Here is a 21621-nt window from a genome sequence, read left to right as displayed (position 1 = left end):
AGAAGGGGTTTTACCATGTTGGTCAAGCTGGTCTCAAACTCCTGATCTCAGGTGATCTGCCCACCTTGGCCTCCCAAAGTGCTAGGATTACAGGTGTGAACCACTGCTCCCAGCCCCTATTACTCTTTTCTTTATAGTCAAATAAAATGTGTTGAGTCCCAATGCAGGGCCAGAACTAGGGTGAGACAAGTGAGACGCAATATTTAGGGGTGTGGCCCAAAACTCGGCAATCAAGCTAAATCATGTCGTACTGCAATATTTTAAAGACCAAAATTAACACAAAACACCATAATGCATAAACTATCAGAACATTAAATAAAGACAGGATTTAGAGCATGGCTCAGCTATCCTGGAACCTGAGGTAAAAGGAAAAATTATTAATGCCAGTCCTCTCTTTATTTAACATTTTGATGGTTTATCACGGGTTGTTTTGGCATTTTTTAAAAAAATATTGCATGAAAATAGGATCATCTTGCTGCATGAGTTTTTTGGCACAACCCAAAACGTTGTGCCTGAGGCAAGTGCCTCGTTTCCTCCCCTACTCCCAGCACCGCAACACACACTAAAAGGATCTAGCTTCCCCTCCTCCATCCCACACTTTCTTTCTTCTGGTGTCTGTTTGTTTGTTTTTTCCTAAGACAGAGTCTCACTCTGTTGCCCGGGCTGGAGTGCAATGGATCTCGGCTCACTGCAACCTCCGCCTCCCAGGTTCAAGTGATTCTCCCACCTCAGCCTCCTGAGTAGCTGGGATTACGGGCACCCACCATCATGCCTGGCTAATTTTTGTATTTTTCATAGAGACAGGGTTTCACCATGTTGGCCAGGCTGGTCTCAAACTCCTGACCTCAGATGATCCGCCTGCCTTGGCCTCCCAACGTGCTGGGATTACAGGTGTGAGCCACCACACCCCACCCTACATTTTCAAGATTCACCTTTCCAGGGCAGTGGAGGAAGACAGGGCTTGTTACAGATCTGTTCCTCACTCTGTGGGCACTGTTCCTTTTCCTCTACTGTTATTTATCTCCTAACCATCTTGCCTGGCCCTGTCTCAGGCCTCCTATGCCCATCACTGCCTGGACTTCACCATCAACTCCAGTGCACATGACTGCATATGACTGACTTGTACTTCAGATCCTTGGGGTGGAGATCAGGAAGGCAGTGGGTGACTATACTAAATAATTGCTGTGCTAGCAGGGAACAGCTTTAGTTGCAAGCTTCTAGTCCTCTCCTAGATCTTATTAGCCAACGGCTCCCTCCTTGTAAACCAAAAATAAAACTCCAAGCCCTTCAACTGACAGATGGACCCTCCTCAGCCAAGGCCATTCTAAAGTTAACCTGAAACACGAGTTTAGGCCATGATGGGAAGTGGGGGTTGGACACGCCTCATGATACCCTCCTCCCTTTGGAATTCAGGCACAGTTGACCAGCACTGACATTAAAACAGAGAATTACGGCAGATAGAACAGACTCTTTCAGTCTGATAAGAAACATTTGCAGTCTATTCTTTCTGAAGCTTGCCACCTGGAGGCTTCATCTGCATAATAAGAACCTTGGTCTCCACAATCCCTTGTCTTAACCCGGACACCACTCCTTTCTATTGATGCCAGGTCTTCTGATGAACATTCAACCAATTGCCAATCAGAAAAATATTTCAATGGGCCAGACATGATGGCTCACACCTGTAATCCCAGCACTTTGGGAGGCCAAGACTGGTGGATCACTTGAGGTCAGTTCGAGACCAGCCTGGCCAACATGGTGAAACCCCGTCTCTACTAAAAATATAAAAATTAGCCAGGTGTGGTGGTGGGTGTCTGTAATCCCAGTTACTTGGGAGACTGAGGGAGGAGAATTGCTTGAGCCCAGGAGGCAGAGGTTGCAGTGAGCCAAGATTGCACTACTGCACTCCAGCCTGGGTGGACAGAGCAAGACTCCCTCTCAAAAATAAATAAGTAGAAAATCTTTTAATGTACCTATGACCTGGAAGCAACCCCCACTTATGTCTCCCTAAAATGTATAAAACCAAGCCGTAGCCTGACCACCCTAGGTACATGTTCTCAGAACCTCCTGGGGCCGTGTTACAGGCCATTGGTCCCTCATACTTGTCTCAGGATAAATCCCTTTAAATGTTTTACAGAGTGTGGCTCTTTTCATCAACATTCTAATAACATAAGACAATACTGAGGAACCCTTCACTCCTATCTTTTTTTTCCGGGACCTCAAACCCCATCTCAAGGTCTATGCAGATAATTCCAGAGGTTCTTTCTCTTTTCCATAATGCATAATTGAACACCTCTTTATCTAAATTTCTTCCTCTGGGTCATGCCCATGGGCCATATGCCTCTCTTAGTCAAGCAGGCCCATTAAAAAGGTCTCTCCAGGCTGTGTGTGGTGGCTCACGTCTATAATCCCCGCACTTTGGGAGACCAAGGTAGGCAGATCACTTGAACCCAGGAGTTCAAGACCAGCTTGGGCATCATGGTGAACCCCGCCTCTACAAAAAAAAATTATAAAAATTACCTGGGCATGGTAGCACATACCTGTAGTCCCAACTACTTGGTAGGCTGAGGGGGGAGGATCACCTGAGCCCAGGAGGTCAAGGCTACAGTGAGCCATGATTCCACCCACTACATTCCAGCCTGGGTGATAGATGAGATCCTGTTTCAAAAAAAAAAAAAAAAAAGTCTCTCTCCAAATATAGGAGACCCTCTTTCTGTGGAATTTTGCAACAAAGCCAACTGTCAGCAACTGCTGCACTTTAACGCAAACCCTCTTCTCCCTCCCTATCACATACAGGATTTAGTCACCTGTGCACAGGTCCTAAGGTCACCAGTTGTAAGAGCTGTGTCTTTTTCATCTTCATCCTCAGGCCTGAGAGCTGGGCCTGGCACAGAGAAATTGCTGGGTGAAGATGCTCAAAGCTGCCACATCCATCATTGCTAGGGGTGGGTCAGTGGGGTGGCCTAGGGGACAGTAATGGAGTGGGAGATTATGGACAGGCATACAGCTATGATGTGGCTCATTCTGAGTTGTTTGGTTCCAGAGCCCCAAAGGCCTTCCAGGAAGAATCTCGTTCTACTCCATCCTGCCTGAGTATGCTGGTGCCCCAGACCCCCATTAACCACCACACTGAGACTCCTCCCCAGAAGATGCTCCTGATTCCACAGCACAAAACCAAAGCCCCTGAGTTTGCTGAGGTGGGGAGAGAAGCAGGAAGAGCCTGGGTTGGAATCTATAAACCAAAAATAAAATCCTAAGCACAACAACCAACTAAATGGACCCCCTGTGGGCCAAGAGGACCCCTGAGAAACCCGAAAAACTGAATTCCTGGCTGTGATGGGACACACCTTGTTATATATTCCCTCCCTTTTGGAGGTTAAGCACAGCTGACCAGCATTAACATTAAAATAGAGATCCATCCTAAGACTGACAAAACAGACTCTTTGTGGCAATAAGATACCAAATTCCAACCTGACTCTGGTATAGCATCACATGACAGATAGCAGACCCTGAAGGAAATCAGAATATTTTGCCACAAAATTTATTCCTTTGACATCTTTTGAAATGGCCCTCAAAGTCATCTTCTGTTGAGGAAACATGCATCTGTAGAAAATCTCCATTAACACAGCCACGGCTTTTCTTTCTAGGTCTTTCCTGGATCTAAGAGAGATGACCTAAGAGTCTGACACCTTTTAAGATCTGAAAAGAGACATTTACCATCTATTCTCTCTGAAGGCTGCTACCTGGAAGCTTCATCTACATCACAAGAACCTCGCCTCCACATGCCCCCTTATCTTAACTCAGGCATTTTTTCCCATTGATTTCAAGTCTTCAGACAAAGCTTAACTCTTTCAACCAATTGCCAATCAGAAAATCTTTAAATCATGGGCATGGTGGCACACGCCTGTAATCCCAGCTACTCGGGAGGCTGAGAATGACTTGAATCCAGGAGGCAGAGATTGCAGTGAGCCAAGATTGCGCCACTGCACTCCAGCCTGGGCAACAGCACGAGACTCTGTCTCAAAAAAAAAAAAAGAAAAAAGAAAAGAAAATCTTTGAATCAACCTATGACCTCTAAACACCACCCCCTCACCTTCTACCCCACTAACTCCCCCTCACTTTCAAGATGTCCCACCTTTCCAGCTGAACCAATGTATACCTTATATGTACTGATTTATGTCTTTACCTGTAACTTCTGTCTCCCTAAAATTTATAAAGCCAAAGTAACCCAGCCGCCTGGGGCACACTTTCTCAGGGCCTCTTGAGACTGTTCTCCAGGCCGTGGTCACTCATGCTGGCTCAGAATAAACCTCTTTAAATATTTTACAGAATTTGATTTTTCTGTTGACAAATCCTTGTTCCCTGGCCAGGCTTGGTGACTTAAGCTTATAATCCCAGCACTCTAGGAGACTGAGGTGGGAGGATCACTTGAGGTCAGGATTTTCCAGCCTGGGCAACATAGTGAGACCCTTGTCTCTATTTAAAAAAAAAAAAAAAAAAAGTAAAAATTAGCCAGGCATGGTGGTGTGCACCTGTAATCCCAGCTACTTAGGAGGCTGAGGAAGGAAGATTGCTTGAGCCTGTACGGTTCTTGTAACGGTTCTAACCCCAAGACTGAGCCAACAGACAACACGAGGCGGTGTGGAGCAACATGCCGTTTTAATGAGCAGACGCACTGGGTGCTGGCGGGCTGAGGCCTAAAATGGCGTCAGCCCCAAGTGAGGACAGGGCAAAGGTTTTATAGTCTTCTGTAAACGGGAAGTGCCCTAGTCTGACGTAATTGCTACGTTGCACCCGGATGGCCTCTTTCTCGATCTTCAGGGGTCCGTGTCTTCCAGCGAGGGTGGGTGTCTTCTGTCCAGCTCTCCTCCCGCTTCTGCTATCTTGCTGACACACGCTGCCGAAGCAAGTGGTCTTGCGCCTTGGGCCTGGGCCTGAGAAGGGAGGAGTTACTCATCTCCTTAAGCTTTCAGGCCCCGGGGAGAATCTTACAGAGCCCAGGAGCTTGAGGCTGCTGTGAGTTGTAATGGTGTCACTGCACTCCAGGCTGGGCAACAGACTGAGGCCCTGTGTTTTGTTTTGTTTTAAAAAGAAAAAGAATAGAAAAGAAAAATCCCTGCTCCCTTGCAGCACAACCCTGTGTGTTAGTCTCTCCAGGCCTCAGTTTCTTCCTCCCTGGAGTAGGATCATAAAAAATACAATCTCCAGTGGTTACTGTTATGAGGGTTAAATTAGATATGACATGCAAGGCACTTAGAAGAGTGCCTGGCACATGATAAGCATTCAGTGGACATCAGCCACTCTCATTTCCTCGTGGCCTGTGGGGTGTTTATCTTTCAGCATAGAGAAGGCAGACAGTGGCAGATTGTCTTAGTGTGTCTGAGACACTGAGCTGAGGACTCTGTGATTCACTCTTGGTTGCCTTGGGTGTTTTCATTCCCGGTAGCATTAGAGGAATTGGAGGCCCCTGGAAAAAGATCTCTTTGCTCCAAAGAAGGAGAAACTTTACATGCAAGTTACCTTTAAGGCCTGAGCAATGGGAGTCAAGAGTACACAAACATCGCTGGAAACAGATCCATGGCTTCAGAGGCAAACCCCAAGCTCTCTCCCCAGAGGCCGGGTCTGGAGTGGAGTGTGTTGAAGAGATAGTAATATAAAGAGGCAGAAAGACTGCCTGCTTCAGGGTTTGCATTAAACTTGGGCTTTGGTGCATTTTTTTTTTTTTATTTCCAGGAAGAAGGCTTTGTGGGGCTACTGGGGTCATGAAGGCCTTTTCAAAGCACGCATCACACCCATGGGGAAGAGCCCCGTCCCCGCAAGGAAGGGCCTAAGATGCATGCAGAATCCTTCACAGTAGGAAGGGAAGAAGCAACGTTCCCTGTCTAGCCGCCAGGTCAGTAAGAATTCCTTCTTGCAACAGCCAATGACGAGCTTAAGCCCTGAAGCCCAGCTCTGGCTGTTAGATCCTCTCTACTTTCCATCCCCAGACCTACCTTCCTGTACCCCTTCCTTTACTGGCTTGAAAGAACCTATCAGGGTCCAGAGCCTCCATATGGGCCCCCCAAGGAACTGCTGGGACTCAGCCAGCCAACATCATCACCTCCCAGGCAGCAAACAAGACCCCAATACGCAGTCTGACATAAGCTCTACAAAACTCCAGAGCCAGCTGGCCTCACCTACTTCAGAACCAAATGCCAGGAAACTCTGGCTGGCCCGCCAAGTCCCCGGGACTGAAGGGATGGAGGACTTGCTGACATGTGCCTTCGTCTTTCATTGCTCTGCTCTCCACCTCCCTTTCCCTGCCTGCGTGCTATACTGTGTCTTGGCATAGCTGGCTGGATCTACACAATGCTCAGCACTAGGCTGGACAAACCAGCTCCAAAGGACCAGTGCTTTCCTACAGGGCCAGGTCTCCAAAGGCTGCTCGGAATGTGCTGTGTGGTCCTGGATCCAAGTGCCAGGAGCTGGATGAGAGGGCCTGTGACCTACTCCTCATCAGAAAGGAAAGAGGGCTCTACTCTTCCAACCAAAGGCCACAGTTCATTTCTTTCTTCTTTTCTCTTTTGGAGACAGTATCTGGCTCTGTCACCCAGGCTGGAGTGCAGTGGCACAATCTCGGTTCACTGCAGCCTCCACCTCCCAGGTTCAAGTGATCTTCCCACCTCAGCCTCCTGAGTAGCTGGGACCACAGCTGCGCACCACCATGCCCGGCTAATATTTGCTTTTTTTTTTTTTTTTGAGACAGAGTCTCACTCCATCACCAGACCGGAGTGCAGTGGTGCAATCTCGGCTCACTGCAAGCTCTGCCTCCTGGGTTCAAGTGATTCTCCTGCCTCAGCCTCCCGAGTAGCTGGGACTACAGGCACCCGCCACCACGCCTGGCTAATTTTTTGTATTTTTAGTAGAAATGGGGTTTCACCATGTTGGCCAGGATGGTCTCAATCTCTTGACCTCGTGATCCACCCACCTTGGCACCCCAAAGTGCTGGGATTACAGGCGCAAGCCACCGTTCCAGGCCACTTTTTTTTTTTTTTTTTTTTTGTAGAGCTAGGGTTTCACCATGTTGCCTAGGCTGGTCTGGAACTCCTGGGCTCAAGTGATCTGCCCACCTCGGTCTCCCAAAGTGCTGGGTTTACAGGCATGAGCCACCGTGCCTGGCCCCACAGTTCATCTCTTAGTGAAAACCATTCCAATCTACCAAGGCTGCATTTTGCTTTTCTCCTCCCTTCTTCAAGAAGGGTGTGCCAGCACATCTTCTGTAACCCAAATATATCTGGACCACCTCAGGCTTCCATCGGCATCACAGTCAGTCAGTGTCACTATGGCAACTGCGAGCAATGGAGAAGACCCCTCTCAACAGGAGTCCCTGGGGAGACACCCAAAGATTCCAGGCTTTTCTACAGCAAAATGTGTCAACAGTCATTCCTCTGTCTCTCTCATCCTGCCACGATCTTCTCCTGAGTCCCCACACTCCAAGACAACCTTAAGTCTCTTTTTTATCTTCTCTCTACACCAAGTTTGTCCAACCCATGGCCCGTGGACCACATGCAGCCCAGGATGGCTTTGAATGCAGCCCAACACAAATTCGTAAACTTTCTTAAAACATGATGTGATTTGGCCAGGCCGGGTGCAGTGGCTCGCCCCTGTAATCTCAGTACTTTGGGAGGCTGAGGTGAGTGGATCACTTGAGGTCAGGAGTTCGAGACCAGCCTGGCCAACATGGCAAAACCCCATCTCTACTAAAAATACAAAAATTAGCTGGGCGTGGTGGTGTGCACCTGTAATCCCAGCTACTCGGGAGGCTGAGGCAGGAGAATTGCTTGAACCCAGGAGGAGGAGGTTGCAGCGAGCTGAGATCATGCCTCTGCACTCCAGTCTTAGAAACAGACTGAGACTCCGTCTCAAAAAAAAAAATTATGAGATTTATTTGTGATTATTTTTAAGCTCATCAGCTATTGTTAGTGCTCATGTATTTTATGTGTGGCCCAGGACAATTCTTCTTCCAATGTGGTCCAGGGAAGCCCAAAGATTAGACATCCCTGCTGTATGCACACTCTCAAACCACCCCCACCCCCTGGTCAGAGAGCAGGGTCTGCTTCCATTCTTTCCTTCATTTGAAAAATTCCTTTAAAATCTCTCTACTGCAGGCCCTTCTGCAGCTAATCCTAATCCCCATACAAAAGGCTCATGAACCCCTCAAGAGCAGACACCCAATTTTCCAGCTCCCCACCCTGTGACTCCGCGCCCGTGTGAATGATCTCGTCTGTCTTTACCTCTGTCACTTGTCAATGTGCAAGCGCATGTTTTCTAATGATGCAAACACCTCAATTCTGGAATCTTACTGAAGGTCAAACATTTACTCAGCCATTAAAACTCTCTGTGCTAGTGTAATTTACATTTGTATTTGCAAGGAAAATATAGTGCGCCTGGTAGACAGCATTTAATGGCTTTTTTCCATTAACTCAAGTGGACAAAAACGAGTACCACAGCCAAATCCAACAAATCCTGGTGGTCTTTCTCTGTCCACCAAAAGAAACACCTGCACCATCGCCATGCCCTCCCCCACCCCCCAAATTCAGGCCCCATCTCATTTTGTAGAGTTTTTGTGAGCACCAGCCTCAGTGAGGAGGGGGCGCCCCAGGCCTGAAAGGTTCCATGGCCTGGATCCTCAGCTAAAGTCCCGCGTTCCTGTGAACCCCAACTGTGCTGAGGTCAATGCAGGATGAAGGTGGGAGATGTACTTAAACACCGACTGCCAGGAAGGTCTTTTCCATTTGGTAGTGATCAGATGTCAGCCAGACCATCTCCGGGGATGAGCTGTAGGTGAAGGTGAGTCTTTCCACATGTCTCCCATGAAAATTGAAAATGATTCTCTAATGCACTCCAGAATCTCTCCAAAACATTTTTATTGTTTCAAAAAGGGAAAGGAAAATGTAAGCCCAGTTGAACAGCATGGGGTTTCTAATCCAAATGGACAAAGCAGGAGGACAATTCAGGCCTGATATTAAGTCGAAGAGAGAGCCCAGTGGGCAACAGATAGGGCCGTGAGTCCAGTGGACATTGCCTGAGCACAATTTGATGAGGGGGATGGCATGCTGTACCCATGGGAATGCCAAACCTTTCCACTGTTTAACGAGGGGATAGAGGCTGGTGAACTCCTGAGAGATCATTCGAAATAATTTTCCCAGTACTTACTAAGGGATTTTGCATTTGAGGTACAAGAAGGTTTGGGGGAAGAAAATGAATTGCAATTTTCCTACCAGGACTGGAATTGCCCGGAGGAGTAACTGACCATATTCCCCTATTCACTGCTCCAAAATACAGCCCATCCCATAGAGATTGGCAATTCCACTGTTAGAGATTCTTTCCTTTGGATTAAACTTTTTTTTTTTTTTTTTTGAGATGGAGTCTCGTGCTGTTACCCAGGCTGGAGTGCAGCAGCACAATCTTGGCTCACTGCAGCCTCTGCCTCCCGAGTTCAAGAGATTCTCATGCCTCAGCCTCCCCAGTAGCTGGGACTACAGGCATGTGCCACCGCACCCCGCTAATTTTTTGTTTTGTTTTGTTGTTGTTGTGGGGTTTTTTTTGGTTTTTTTGCTTTTTTTTTTTTGGTTTTTTGAGACGGAGTCTCGCTGTCTCCCAGGCCGGAGTGCAGTGGCCTGATCTGGGCTCACTGCAAGCTCCGCCTCCCGGGTTCACACCATTCTCCTGCCTCAGCCTCCCAAGTAGCTGGGACTACAGGCGCCTGCCACCATGCCCTGCTAATTTTTTGTATTTTTAGTAGAGATGGGGTTTCACCGTGTTAGCCAGGATGGTCTCAATCTCCTGACCTCATGATCCACCCGCCTTGGCCTCCCAAAATGCTGTGATTACAGGCATGAGCCACTGTGCCCAGCCTGTTTTTTTTGTTTTTTTGTTTTTTTTTTTTTTTGAGATGGAGTCTTGCTCTGTCACCCAGGCTGGAGTGCAGTGGTGCAATCTCAGCTCACCAATACCTCCGCCTCCCCTGTTCAAACGATTCTCCTGCCTCAGCCTCCCGAGTAGCTGGAACTATAAGCATGTGCCACCACACCCAGCTAATTTTTTGTATTTTTAGTAGAGACAGGGTTTCACCGTGTTAGCCAGGCTGTCTTGAACTCCTGGCCTCAAGTGATCTGCCCAGCTCGGCCTCCCAAAGTGCTGGGATTACAGGCATGAGCCACCGCACCTGGCCTAAACATTGTTAACAAACATGGGCAGAGAACACGTTTCTTCGAAATCCCCCAAAGATGAAGAGCTACATTTTATTTCCAGGCTGTTCTGGTGCTTCTACAGGAGAGTGTGGGGTATGCAGTTTCAGGATGAGTCAGGTAATTCTTTTTATTTCTAACTATAAAATTGATATATGCTTTATTGAATATTTGTGGATGAAATAATGTGATGTCTTGGATTCACTTTAAAAGAATGTAGAAGATAGGTGAGTAGGTGGGGATACAGACGAAATGAGACTGGCTATGAGCTGATCATCATTGGGGCTGAGTAACCGGTGCATGGCAGTTATTATTTCCATGCTGTGTCTTTGTATAGGGTTGACATTCTCCACAACAGAAAGCAGAATATTTGGTTACTTTCCCAGTTCACCATCTTTCTATATTGACCAGTGAGAGACATGAAAGTCAAGCCTCAGTACAAGAGTTTTCCATCCCAGACAAGTAGATTCCACAGAGCTCTGTGATTAGGACAGGAAACCAGCTCCCACTTCCTCCATTTTGGGGACTGGAAAATGCTATTTATCCTCATTGCAAAGATCAAAGTGTGAAATCCTGTCCCTACCACAACCCCCAGGATGCATATGAACAGCTCCAGTTGGCAGCTGTAGCTACCATTAGCTTGAAATCTGTTGAAACAGAAAAGTTTTATTGAGGAGGAAAAGCAAATTCCAAACCTGAGTTCCAAGTACCCTTTGCTTGGATGAAGAGGAGCAAAAGAGCATTAGTGAGCCTGAAGCTGCACCTCGGCCCCATCACACCACCCAGACTGAGAAACAAACAGGACAGGGCACTGTCAAACATGCTCATGGAAGGCTGCCTGTGTGCACACGACCAGACTTCCTGGCAAATCCCAGGGCCCGCATCTGCCAAAAGCCACTGGGTAGTCAGTCGTGGTGGTATTCATCAAACTCTGCGATGCAAAAGTCATCCCAGTGATCACCTCATCCCCACCTCACCTCCAGATCACACCAAACCTACCTAAAGCCATCTTAGATATGTAGCCATCTCTCTCCCCTTAAGATCCAAAAGGAGTCAACTTTCTTCATTCTTCTTTACGTTTGTTTCTTTAGAGACAGTCTCACTCTGTCGCCCAAGCTAGAGTGCAGTGGCACCGTCATAGCTCACTGCAGCCTCAAACTCTAACCCTTCAGCCCTCCAATCTTGGAGCACTCAAGTGATCCTCTTGCCTCAGCCTCCTGAATAGCTAAGATGACAGGCAGGCACCACCATGCCCTGCTAAATTTTTTAATTATTACTTTTTGTAGAGATGGTCTTACCATGTTGCCCCAGCTGGTCTTAAACTCCTGGCCTCAAGGGATGCACCTGCCTCAGTCTCCCAAAGCTCTGGTATTACAGGCTCAAGCCACTGTGCCCTGCCTTATTCGTTACTCTCAGTAAGCTGTCCTGATAGGAAGTTCTCCATAACTGACCTACGTGCTTTTTAGGATGGACAGAAATAGAAAGCGCATTTCTAGAGCTTGCATTTCAATATTTTAATCAAAGTTGCCACAAATAGTGGCCCTCACTGGCCCTAACCACCTGTTTATTAGTTTCTTATTGCTGCCATAACAAGTTACTCCAAACTTGGTGGCTTAAAAGAGCCCACATTCATGATCTCGCAGTCCTGTAGGTCGGAATGCTGTTTGGGCTTGCCTGGCTTCTCGGCTTAGGGTTCCCCAGTGCCAAAAGCGAGGTGTTGGCCAGCCTGGGTTCTTAACTGGAGACTCTGGGAAGAAGCCGCCTCCGTGCTCACTCAGGTTGCTGGCAGATTTCAGCTCCTTGCCAGTGTAGGGCTGGGGTCCCGTCTCCTTGCTGGTGGTCAGCTGGCGGGGGCGGGTGGGGGACTCTCAGCTCCTTAAGACCATCTGCCTGCCTTGTCCCATTGCCAGGTGGGCTGAACTTGGCTCAACTCCCATGGGAGACACTGGTGTATGGGAGGCCACAGACTGAGCCAGGCCCATTCCCTGCCCTCAAGCAGCTAAAAGAGAGGGCAAGATGAAGAGAGCAATGGATGGAGGAGGCACCCACAAACTCTGATTTTTTAAAGCACAAGTTTCCTCTTTCCACAAGTCAACTTAATTTAAAGCACATGCCCTCATTCCCTTTCTCTCTGGTTGTTCTGAAGATTTTTTGAGGGCTTACCAGATGCGAGCTCTGGGAACTGGGGCATAGCTGGTCCCAATCATTATCTGTCTGTGACGAAATCAGCTGAGAGAGTTCCGCTCCCACCCTGTCGTCAGTCCCCATGGGTTCCGATGGCAGCACTCTTGGTTCCTCTCCAGGAACCTCTTTTGAGTTTGTATCAGTTTGAACCATACATAGCATGAGATAGTTTACAAGGAAGTGATCCCCCAAACGAGCAGGGGTGTGAGACAGAGAAGGGAAGGAAGAGCCGGCAGAGAGAGTGTTATTCAGCAAGTTACCTGTGGCCAGCTGAGCATAATCTCTTGGGGGAGCTCTGGAAAACACTGCAGAGCGTGCGTGCATCTCAGAGTTATCCCACAAGAGGAGTGAGAGAGCTGGGGTATTTATACACCAACTCCCACCGGTCATTGGATTAGGGCCGTTGTTCCATCAATTTCTCAACACTTTGCCCTGCCACATGCTTGGGCAGGGCCGGCCCTGGCAACTAGAGAAACCTCTCTGGCAGACAGACCTGGGTGCTGGCAGCTGATGTCAAGCCAGCCAGCAAGGAGAAATCACAGCCCCAGGGCCATGGGGGCTGGTGGGACCTCCTGCCTCTACTACAAGGCCTGACTCTGTGTCCCTGAGTCCCTCTGTGCCAGCATGGGAGATGGAAACTCTGTGAAGCTAAGGCCTTTTTTACCCAGACCCATCCGGTAGCTGGGTTGCCTCGAGACTCTGTTCACCTCTCCAAGCCCTACCCAGGAAGCAAGACTCCAGAGCTTGCTACTCAGATCCAACAAAGTTGTCTGGGAATCAGTGGTTTCCCAACCCAGTGCCCCCAGGTTTAGGTCTGTGGGGCATGTACAGGGCACCTTCTCCAGGACCCAGCAGCATCTGCACTCCTATCCTCTTCAACTCACCCTCTGCCCTCCTCCTAGCCAGCCCAAGGATGTGAAGACATCCTCTTTCTTTTCTTTTCTCTTCCTTTTCTTTTCTTTCTTTTTTTTTTTTTTTTTTTTTTTTGAGATAGGGTCTCACTCTGTTGCCTCGGCTAGAGCGCACTGGTGTGATCTCAGCTCACTACAACCTCTGCCTCCCGGGTTCAAGCAATTCTCCAGTCTCAGCCTCCCCAGTAACTGGGATTACAGGTGTACGGCACCATGCCCAGTTAATTTTTGTATTTTTAGTAGAGACAGGGTTTCACCATGTTGGCCAGGCTGGTCTTGAACTCCTGACCTCAAGCGATCTGCCTGCCTCGGCCTCCCAAAGTGCTGGAATTATAGGCGTGAGCCACTGCACCAGGCCCGACATCCTCTTTCAAGGCACACAGTCACCTAAAGCTATATGGAGTCACTTTGGCAGCTCCAAGGCCAGGGAAGAGAAGACTTTGTCCATGGTATAAATTCCTTGCTCCCTTCTCTTGTAACAGTGAGCCTCGCAAGAATGCGCTGAGTGAACGGGAAAGACTGCAGTGCAGAAGGACATATGGGGAAACCTTCAAATCGTCATTTCATCACCCAGATGTGCACCCAAGTAATCAGAATCCAAGGCGAATCTAGAATGCCATCAAGTGCCATCACAAAGTCCTTCCATAGGAGAGAGAAAGAAATTCCCACCGGAGGCAAGCAAAGAGGGCTGCTTGAAGGAGGCAGGGGCATGTAACCTGGCCTCGGGAGATGAGTAAAATCTCAGCTGGTGGAGGAGGAATGGGACCCGAGGCATGAAGCATCAGGGTAGCTTGGGTCGGCCTCATCTCCCCAGCCTGGGATTGGGGAAGGCAGAAGGGAGATCTATACCCTAGAACCTCAACCAAGGAGGTTGGACTTCCCCAGAATGAGGGCAGGGAGGAAGCTGTGGAATATTTTGGAGGAAGGAGTGACACGATGAGATGCCGCAGGCCAGTGGGGAGTCATGCAGAGACACATGTAGAAACGGCCTTTGTCTCAAGACTCTGGCTACAGGGCTGTGTGTGTGGAGGAGGGGGGAAGAGAAGAGGGAGGAGACGGGGAAGAAAGAAGTGAGGGAGGTTGGGGTGGTGCAGAAAGAGGAGAGATGGAGCAGGAAGGGGGAGAAAGAACAGATGTGGGGAGACAGTGGAGTTTGCGCCCGCCCAGCTCGCAGAGGCCCCCGTTTGTGGGTGTGAAAACCCATCCTGAACTTCTCTGGCCCAGGAAGTCTGGAGAGCCCCAGGCGCCTTGCTTGTGAGTGGCTTTTGTGAAAAGAAGGCAAGAGAATGGGAGGAAAAGTTGGATTCAGGTCTGATTTTTCTAAACAAAGTCACCAGCTGAGGCAGGACTGACAGCCCCGGGATGCCCTCAAGCAGAGAAATTGTCAGAGAAGAAGGTGAGAGGAGGTGATAATTGCTGGGAGAATGAAAGCTGAAGCCACCCCAGCGAGTCTCTTGGCTTCTCCAAGCCCAGTCAGCGTCAGAGAAAATAGAGGTCTGAGTTTTCTGGTTGTTCACACTCAGAAACTAAAGCCAGAAAAGTTCCAAACATCTGGCTTTTACAGCACAAAACCCCCAACGCACGTGCTGGGATCGTATTTAGTAATGTTATGGCTCCATCTACAGCCGGAGGAAGGATCATCACTGCTAGATTTCGCCGTGAGCAAGAATCCGGCCTTTGAGCTGCGCAGACTCATTGCAATTAACGCTAATAAAGCTCGTTCCTGTATCTGTGCTGTTTATTCAACACAGACTTGGAACCACACTGGAAGTTATTTATTTCAGACTGTGTCTACAACAGCAGCTGTTCAGAATATACTAGCATCCTTTTAGCCAAAATTGGTTTGGAATTTCTATTTTAAACCACTGTTTGTTATGAATTGAGTTAAATGTCTTTTTTTTTTTTAACACATTTTCCCTATTTTAACAATGGAAAAAATAAAAGCCCTTAAAATACTAAGATTGCATTTTCTTTCATTCATTCAACAGCTAATTAGCACCTACTGCGTGTCTGGCTCTGTGTTAAGTGCAATAATTAAGTCAGATCTGAATGCATCCTATTATTTACTCATCAGAGGGTATTTTTGCTACTTGTCCTTTATGTCTGGAACATTTCCACAGGAATAGTGAGAGAGGAAGAACCGAGACAACCTGTGAATATAGTGTTTGGGACAAGTTAGAAACACAAGGAACATAGAATCTTTTCATGACAAAGTGGAAGCTGGAAGTCAGTCCCATAAAGGCCAGTAAGATTTTTATCCTGTTCTATTATTTTTTTCCTACTCAGAAGTGGAATTAGTTTTTTCCTACTTAAAAAGTTACCAGCTGAAGTCAGGTGCGGTAATCCCAGCATTTTCGGGGATCGAGGTGGGCAGATTGCTTGCACCCAGTAGTTCAAGACCTTCCTGGGCAACATCGGGAGAGCCCCATCTCTACAAAAATACAAAAATTAGCCATGTGTGGTGGCGCACACCTGTAGTCCCAACTACTTGGGAGGCTGAGGTGGGCGGATCGCTTGAGCCTGGGAGGTTGAGGCTGCAGTGAGCCAAGATCACACCACTGCACCAACAGCCTGGGTGCAGTGGCTCATGCCTGTAATCCCAACACTTTGGGAGGTTTGGGTGGGAGGATCCCTTTAGCCCAGGAGTTTGAGATCAGCCCAGGCAACATAGTAAGACCCTGTCTCTACCAAAAAATATTTTTAAATAGCTGGGTGTGATGGCACATGCCTGTAGTCCCAGCTATTTGGGAGGCTGAGGCGGAAGGATTGCTTGAGCCCAGGAGTTCAAGATTGTAGTGAGCTATGATCACACCACTGCACTCCAGCCTGGGCAACAGAGCAAGACCCTGTCGCTGAAAATAAATAAATAATATTTGCTTTGTGCAGAAAATTTGGAAAACAAGACAAAAAGGAATTTAAAAATCTCAGTTATAATCCTATCAACCAAAGATGACCACTGTTAACTTTACATGGTACTATAATTTTCATTAACCCATAGGAGAGGAACTTTCTTTCATGTCACTGCATATTCCTCTATATGATTTTGAATGGCTACAGAGTATTCTTTCATATGAGCATACCATAATTTACTTATGCCACACATGATTACTGACTTTTAACAATGATAAGGTTTGTACTGATGACATTTCTTAAGATACACTCTTAGCTCTGGAACTTCTGGATCAAAGAGGGCATGTACCTTCAAGGCCTCTGAGACATATATCAAGTTGCCATCCAGGGTCAACCTCCTAGAATTTAACATCGCATCTGAAACCAAAATCTAACTTCAGGAGCCCAGAGCATTCACAGTTCCAGAAAGAGTGTGATGGTAAGTGGTGATCCTTGGTGTTCGGGAAGCTTTGCAGGGCATCCCAGCTGGAGGTAGTCAAAGTTATCAGAATGGTTTTTGATAAATTCTTTACCTTGTAGATGATTTAGACTGGAGTGCCTCCAGGAAAGCAGGAAGCAAGACATGTTTTTAACCTGGTAAGTATTTAGTCAATAGAGCATTACCAAGGGCTCAGGAGATTAAGAAAGACAGGATTATTTTAATGTATCTTCATCACCCAAACCTCACCACTTGTCATGGTTAATATCACCCCTGGCTTATTTTTCCTGTTCCCACATTCTGTCCACAGTTTGTGCCCACAGATACTTTGCCCTTTCCTCTCCTCCATGTCTTATAAGGTGAAGCTGGGTTCCTCTGAGGTCACAGAGCTGTGGTAACTACATCCAGTGGGTGTTAGAAAAAACCCTGGCCCCTCTCAGATGTGAGATGTGGTCTAAGGACTCAATACACTGACTTAGGGAAGACTTGAGCTTTTTTCTTTGGAACTGAAACATTTTCCATATGTTTATATAGAGTTGTGGCAACAACTCAAGGGATATGAAAAGCAGATTTTACAAGAGTATGATTGCACAGCAAAAGTCAGTTTTGGGTTAATTTTGGAAAGAGAAGCTTTGATTTTACTGTGTGCCTAGTAGACAATGTCCCATCAGTCACACACAAAGGAAGAATGTCGGCAGAGAATCCCATAAAGTTAGCACCTAATGTAACTAGCGTTATTGGAAGTTGAGGCAGAGACAAGGGCTGCCCAAGGTCATGGTCACGGTAAGAGGTGGGTGTAAGCTGCCTTTCTGCCTACTGGCTCAGTGATCATTTTAAAAGAGGGTGACTTAACTACAGAAGTAAAATGTGACTGCCTTAGTTGTTAGAGAGCAAGAAGACACTCAACTGCATAAGGGGAACCAGCAGCAGGGCTCCTACTAGAGGCTGGAGTCTCTTGGGAAGAAACAATTTCCCACCATGTGTTCCCTTGCGTGCTTGGCCATGGTAAGGCAGAACATGGAGGGTGAAATCAGACCTCAATCTTTTCTCTGATTCATCTTTCTGCAGGCAAACACCTCTCAGGAGAAGGAGACAAATTGTTGACTTGAAACCCAGTTTTCCTGCCCTGGCAGTAACTGCGCAGAGTGGGGGAGGGTGGACATAACCCTGGGGCCTCTCTGTTTGTATTGAATGTTCTCATCACCCTGACATCCTTGCAGTTTCCCTTTAATGCACGTGTGTCATGCTGAGAGTGCAAATGACTGTCTTGGGAGTTCTGTTTTTCCTACTTGTCCCCGCCTTCCCTGTGTGTCTGGGGCCCATGGATGTTCAATGGGACAGGGGCTAAAGTGGCCGCCAGGGGACAGAGTTGCTCACCTGCATAGCACCTTCCCTCCACCCTCCATGCACTGATGGATGGAACTTCTCATGGGTTTTTGGTCCACCGCACTCTATTTTTTTTGTTCCAGGGTTAAAAACATGGAGAAAGCTTGAGGCAGGGAGGATCTCCTTACTGCAGATAAAAAACCCAAGGCAGAGGTAATCAATACCTCATTCTTTAATAGCTCACAGTGGGACCCTTGAGCACACCAGACAACACAGCAAAGATCATAATTATGCTGATAGAAGTAACTTACAGGGTCAGATGCCTCCTGTCTGTCCATCTCTTAACCATATGATCTTTTACTTTATGTGGCAATGAAATAAAATATTTTGAGGCTGGCATTTCAGTCGGTCCAAGTTACAAATACAGCTGAGCACTTTTCTAAGCCATTATTTCCCCAGCTGGAAGTGAAAGTTAATAATTTTGCCCCAACTCTCAAACCCCATCACCACTTGCTTCTCAGGGATGCAGTGACAAGACAAGAGATATTTGCAATATTTGCAGTGTTTTCCAGACTTTTCTGATGCCAAGAAGCACCTGGGAAACTTGTCCAAATACAGACTTCCAGCCTAAACCCTGGTCTTACTGAATAAGTAATTGTAGGATGGGCCTGGGCATCTGTAGTTTTATTTATTTATTTTGAGATGGAGTTTCGCTCTTGTTGGCCAGCCTGGAATGCAGTGGCACAATCTCGGCTTGCTGCAACCTCTGCCTCCCAGGTTCAAGTGATTCTCCTGCCTCAGCCTCCCGAGTAGCTGGGATTACAGGCACCCGCCACGACGCCCAGCTAATTTTTTGTATTTTTTAGTAGAGATGGGGTTTCATCATGTTGGCCAGGCTGGTCTCGAACTCCTGACCTCAGGCGATTCACCCGCCTCGGCCTCCCAAAGTACTGGGATTACAGGTGTAAGCCAGCATGCCGGCTGGGCATCTATAGTTTTATAAGGCTCCCAGCTGATTCTTATGATTGGGTGATCATTGGCAAGTTTGGGAAATGTTAAGTTAATCACCATGAAATCCTTCAATGCTTCAGAAGATGTCAAGCTCTGAACACTTAAAGAAGCATTTATTGCCATTCTTATTGCAGGCCAGGATTGCCAGTTTAGCTAATAAAAATATAGGATGTCCACTTAAATTTGTATTTCAGATAAACAAGGAATGATGTTTATTTTTAGTATATCCCATGCAATATTTGGGATATACAAAAAATATATTTTTATCTGGTGACCCTGTCGGATGCTTTGCACTCCATTTATTTTATTCTATGGGAGAGCTAGGAGAAAAGTATAATCCTTAGAGGAAGAAAGTGTGCCATGGTAGAAGTGTGCACATCTTAGATTCCCCTCCGCAGGCTGCTCAGCTCCTCATTCTTTTCATGTGGCCACCACTCGCCTGCTTGCCAGGAAGAGGAAGCTCGGCAGCCGGCTCTTCATCATGCCGACAAAAAACGCTGCTGTTACTGAAGAAGACAAAGAAACCACTTTTAAAGATAAAAAGAGGTTTTGAAGCATTACTTCGCATTCTGCTTGTTCGGATCTCATGAGACAGTGAAGCAGGTATGCCATTCATTTGCCAATGCATTTGCTGATTTCAAAATAACTTAAGTATTTCTAAGCTATACACCAGGGGTGTCCAATCTTTGGCTTCCCTGGGCCACATTGGAAGAAGAATTGTCTTGGGCCACACATAAAATACACTAACACTAACAATAGTTGATAAGCTAAAAAAAGAAAAGAAAGAAAGAAAAAAAATTGCAAAAAAAGTCTCATAATGTTTTAAGAAAGTTTACAAATTTCTTTTGGGCTGCATTCAAAGCCATCCTGTGCCACAGGTTGGACAAGCTTGCTATACACATTTTTTTCCTCTGGCAAAATTTTCCAGGCCACTCAGTCCCATGGTGTGGATGCTGCCTCTGTCCAATGATACCTGACACCAGATCAAGGGTTCTTCCCAGTATAGACACCTCTCAGTTGGAAAGGGTTACAATCATCCCAATTTGGAAATCCCATCATCAATTGTAAAACAGACCTCCCCAAGGTGAGAAGGGGCGGGGGAATGTAGAGCTGAATATGAAAATCTGAAGGACTGCATGGTCTAAGAATGAAATGTTTTCTAAATAAAATTAAGCTACACGGTGGAAATTGAGGAGAAAGTCCTTAAGGTGACTTTTAAATGAAAATGAAATGTCTGTTAGTAAGTTACAGAGGTGCAATGATACCAAGTGGCAGGCTTGTGTCTTGTTAATTTCAAACATAGATTTTTATGTGAGGCTATTTGATTATAATTTGATTATCTGACCCTGTAATTAAAGTTTATTGCCAATTTGGAAGCTTACATGTAAAATGAACTGGTTTTCTTCAAAGCAATATACAATCTTTTGGACTCATTGACTTCTGGTTTTGCATTTAAATGGAAAAGTCAGTTATAACGTGACAAACAGGTTGGGGTTTTGATCATTAATCCTGCTAAAGCAATATTCATAAATTCAATTCTGAATCAGTTGGAATACTTTTCTTTTATTAGTTTCTGTGTTATTAAATGAGATTGTTTCTGACTAATATATTTCTGGACTCAAACTGTAGCTCCAAGCTGTTATTCAAATCAAATAACATGCCCCTTACTTGTGCCTCGCACTAATAAATGCCAACTTGTGATACATTTGCAAGAGACTGTCAGCAATATTAAAGGAGGCAATAATGGCATGGAGGTCTCAAAGTGAGCTGATTTTTCTAATGGCTGATATTCGTCGTTTTTCTTACACACACACCCCAGATATTCGAACCTTTTAGTCTTAAACCCAAAAGTATGCTTTGATTCACATACACATAATTCGCTGGCACTTTAATGACTAAGACATTGGAGTTAGATAACTCATAACTTTAGGATCCTCAGTGAGAGATCCTAAAGTTTGAAGCTGCTCTGCCGATTTCAGAGCAGAATCAAAGTTATAATTAGAAAGACAACTGCTGCTTAATTTGGGAAAGGAGATGGGTCCTTCTTTTCAATATTTGGGTGGGATGGAGAGGTTACATTGCTTTTTTTTTTTTTTTTTTTTTTTGAGGCAGAGTCTCGTTCTGTTGCCCAGGCTGGAATGCAGTGGTGCGATCTCGGCCCACTGCAACCTTCACCTCCCGGGTTCAAGCAATTCTCCTGCCTCAGCCTCCCAAGTAGCTGGGATTACAGGCATGTGCCACCATGCCTGGCTAATTTTTTTGTATTTTTCGTAGAGACAGGGTTTTACCATGTTGGACAGGCTGGTCTCGAACTCCTGACCTCAAGTGATCTGCCCACCTTGGCCTCCCAAAGCACTGGGATTACAGGCATGAACCACTGCACCTGACACGTTGCTTTTAAGTTAGAAAAACTATTCACAGATCACCTTTGGCTTCCCAGAGCAAAAAGGGGTCTCAGAGACCTTTCGCAGCCCTTTTACAGATAAAGAAACTGAGGCCCAGAGAGACATCAGCTGCTCAGTTACACAGCGAGTCAGGGGCAACTCCTGAATAGGAACTCTCTCTTAACACTCCCTGTAATATTTCCCTGACACTTTTCCCACCAAGCAGCCCACAACAAGCTCATAAATGTTCG

At 46.6% G+C, this 21621-nt stretch overlaps 1 long non-coding RNA gene across 1 annotated transcript, besides 4 other annotated features; it reads left to right on the top strand.

Annotated features, from left to right (window-relative positions):
- Positions 2997-3619: an enhancer, noted in NCBI's record as "OCT4-NANOG-H3K27ac hESC enhancer chr16:53595366-53595988 (GRCh37/hg19 assembly coordinates)". NCBI's record gives its function as "activates a minimal SCP1, AML or CMV promoter by ChIP-STARR-seq in naive H9 embryonic stem cells {active_cell/tissue: H9 hESC(naive)}" and the evidence as "EXISTENCE:reporter gene assay evidence [ECO:0000049][PMID:30033119]".
- Positions 3620-4242: an enhancer, noted in NCBI's record as "OCT4-NANOG-H3K27ac hESC enhancer chr16:53594743-53595365 (GRCh37/hg19 assembly coordinates)". NCBI's record gives its function as "activates a minimal SCP1, AML or CMV promoter by ChIP-STARR-seq in naive H9 embryonic stem cells {active_cell/tissue: H9 hESC(naive)}" and the evidence as "EXISTENCE:reporter gene assay evidence [ECO:0000049][PMID:30033119]".
- On the top strand, positions 4614-20735 carry LOC105371269 (uncharacterized). Its single transcript, XR_933588.4, has 8 exons — positions 4614-4840; positions 5731-5890; positions 10291-10346; positions 16476-16649; positions 16751-16807; positions 18119-18188; positions 19385-19589; positions 19915-20735. It is a non-coding gene; the product is annotated as an uncharacterized LOC105371269 (long non-coding RNA).
- Positions 17657-18158: an enhancer, noted in NCBI's record as "NANOG hESC enhancer chr16:53580827-53581328 (GRCh37/hg19 assembly coordinates)". NCBI's record gives its function as "activates a minimal SCP1, AML or CMV promoter by ChIP-STARR-seq in primed H9 embryonic stem cells {active_cell/tissue: H9 hESC(primed)}" and the evidence as "EXISTENCE:reporter gene assay evidence [ECO:0000049][PMID:30033119]".
- Positions 17920-18099: a silencer, noted in NCBI's record as "silent region_7501". NCBI's record gives its function as "represses an Ori minimal core promoter by ATAC-STARR-seq in GM12878 lymphoblastoid cells {active_cell/tissue: GM12878}" and the evidence as "EXISTENCE:reporter gene assay evidence [ECO:0000049][PMID:35858748]".
- Positions 20736-21621: the final 886 nt, after the last annotated feature.

Source organism: Homo sapiens, chromosome 16 (assembly GCF_000001405.40).
Source record: "Homo sapiens chromosome 16, GRCh38.p14 Primary Assembly".
NCBI lineage: Eukaryota > Metazoa > Chordata > Mammalia > Primates > Hominidae > Homo > Homo sapiens.
This window is presented reverse-complemented; position numbering and strand designations above follow the sequence as displayed.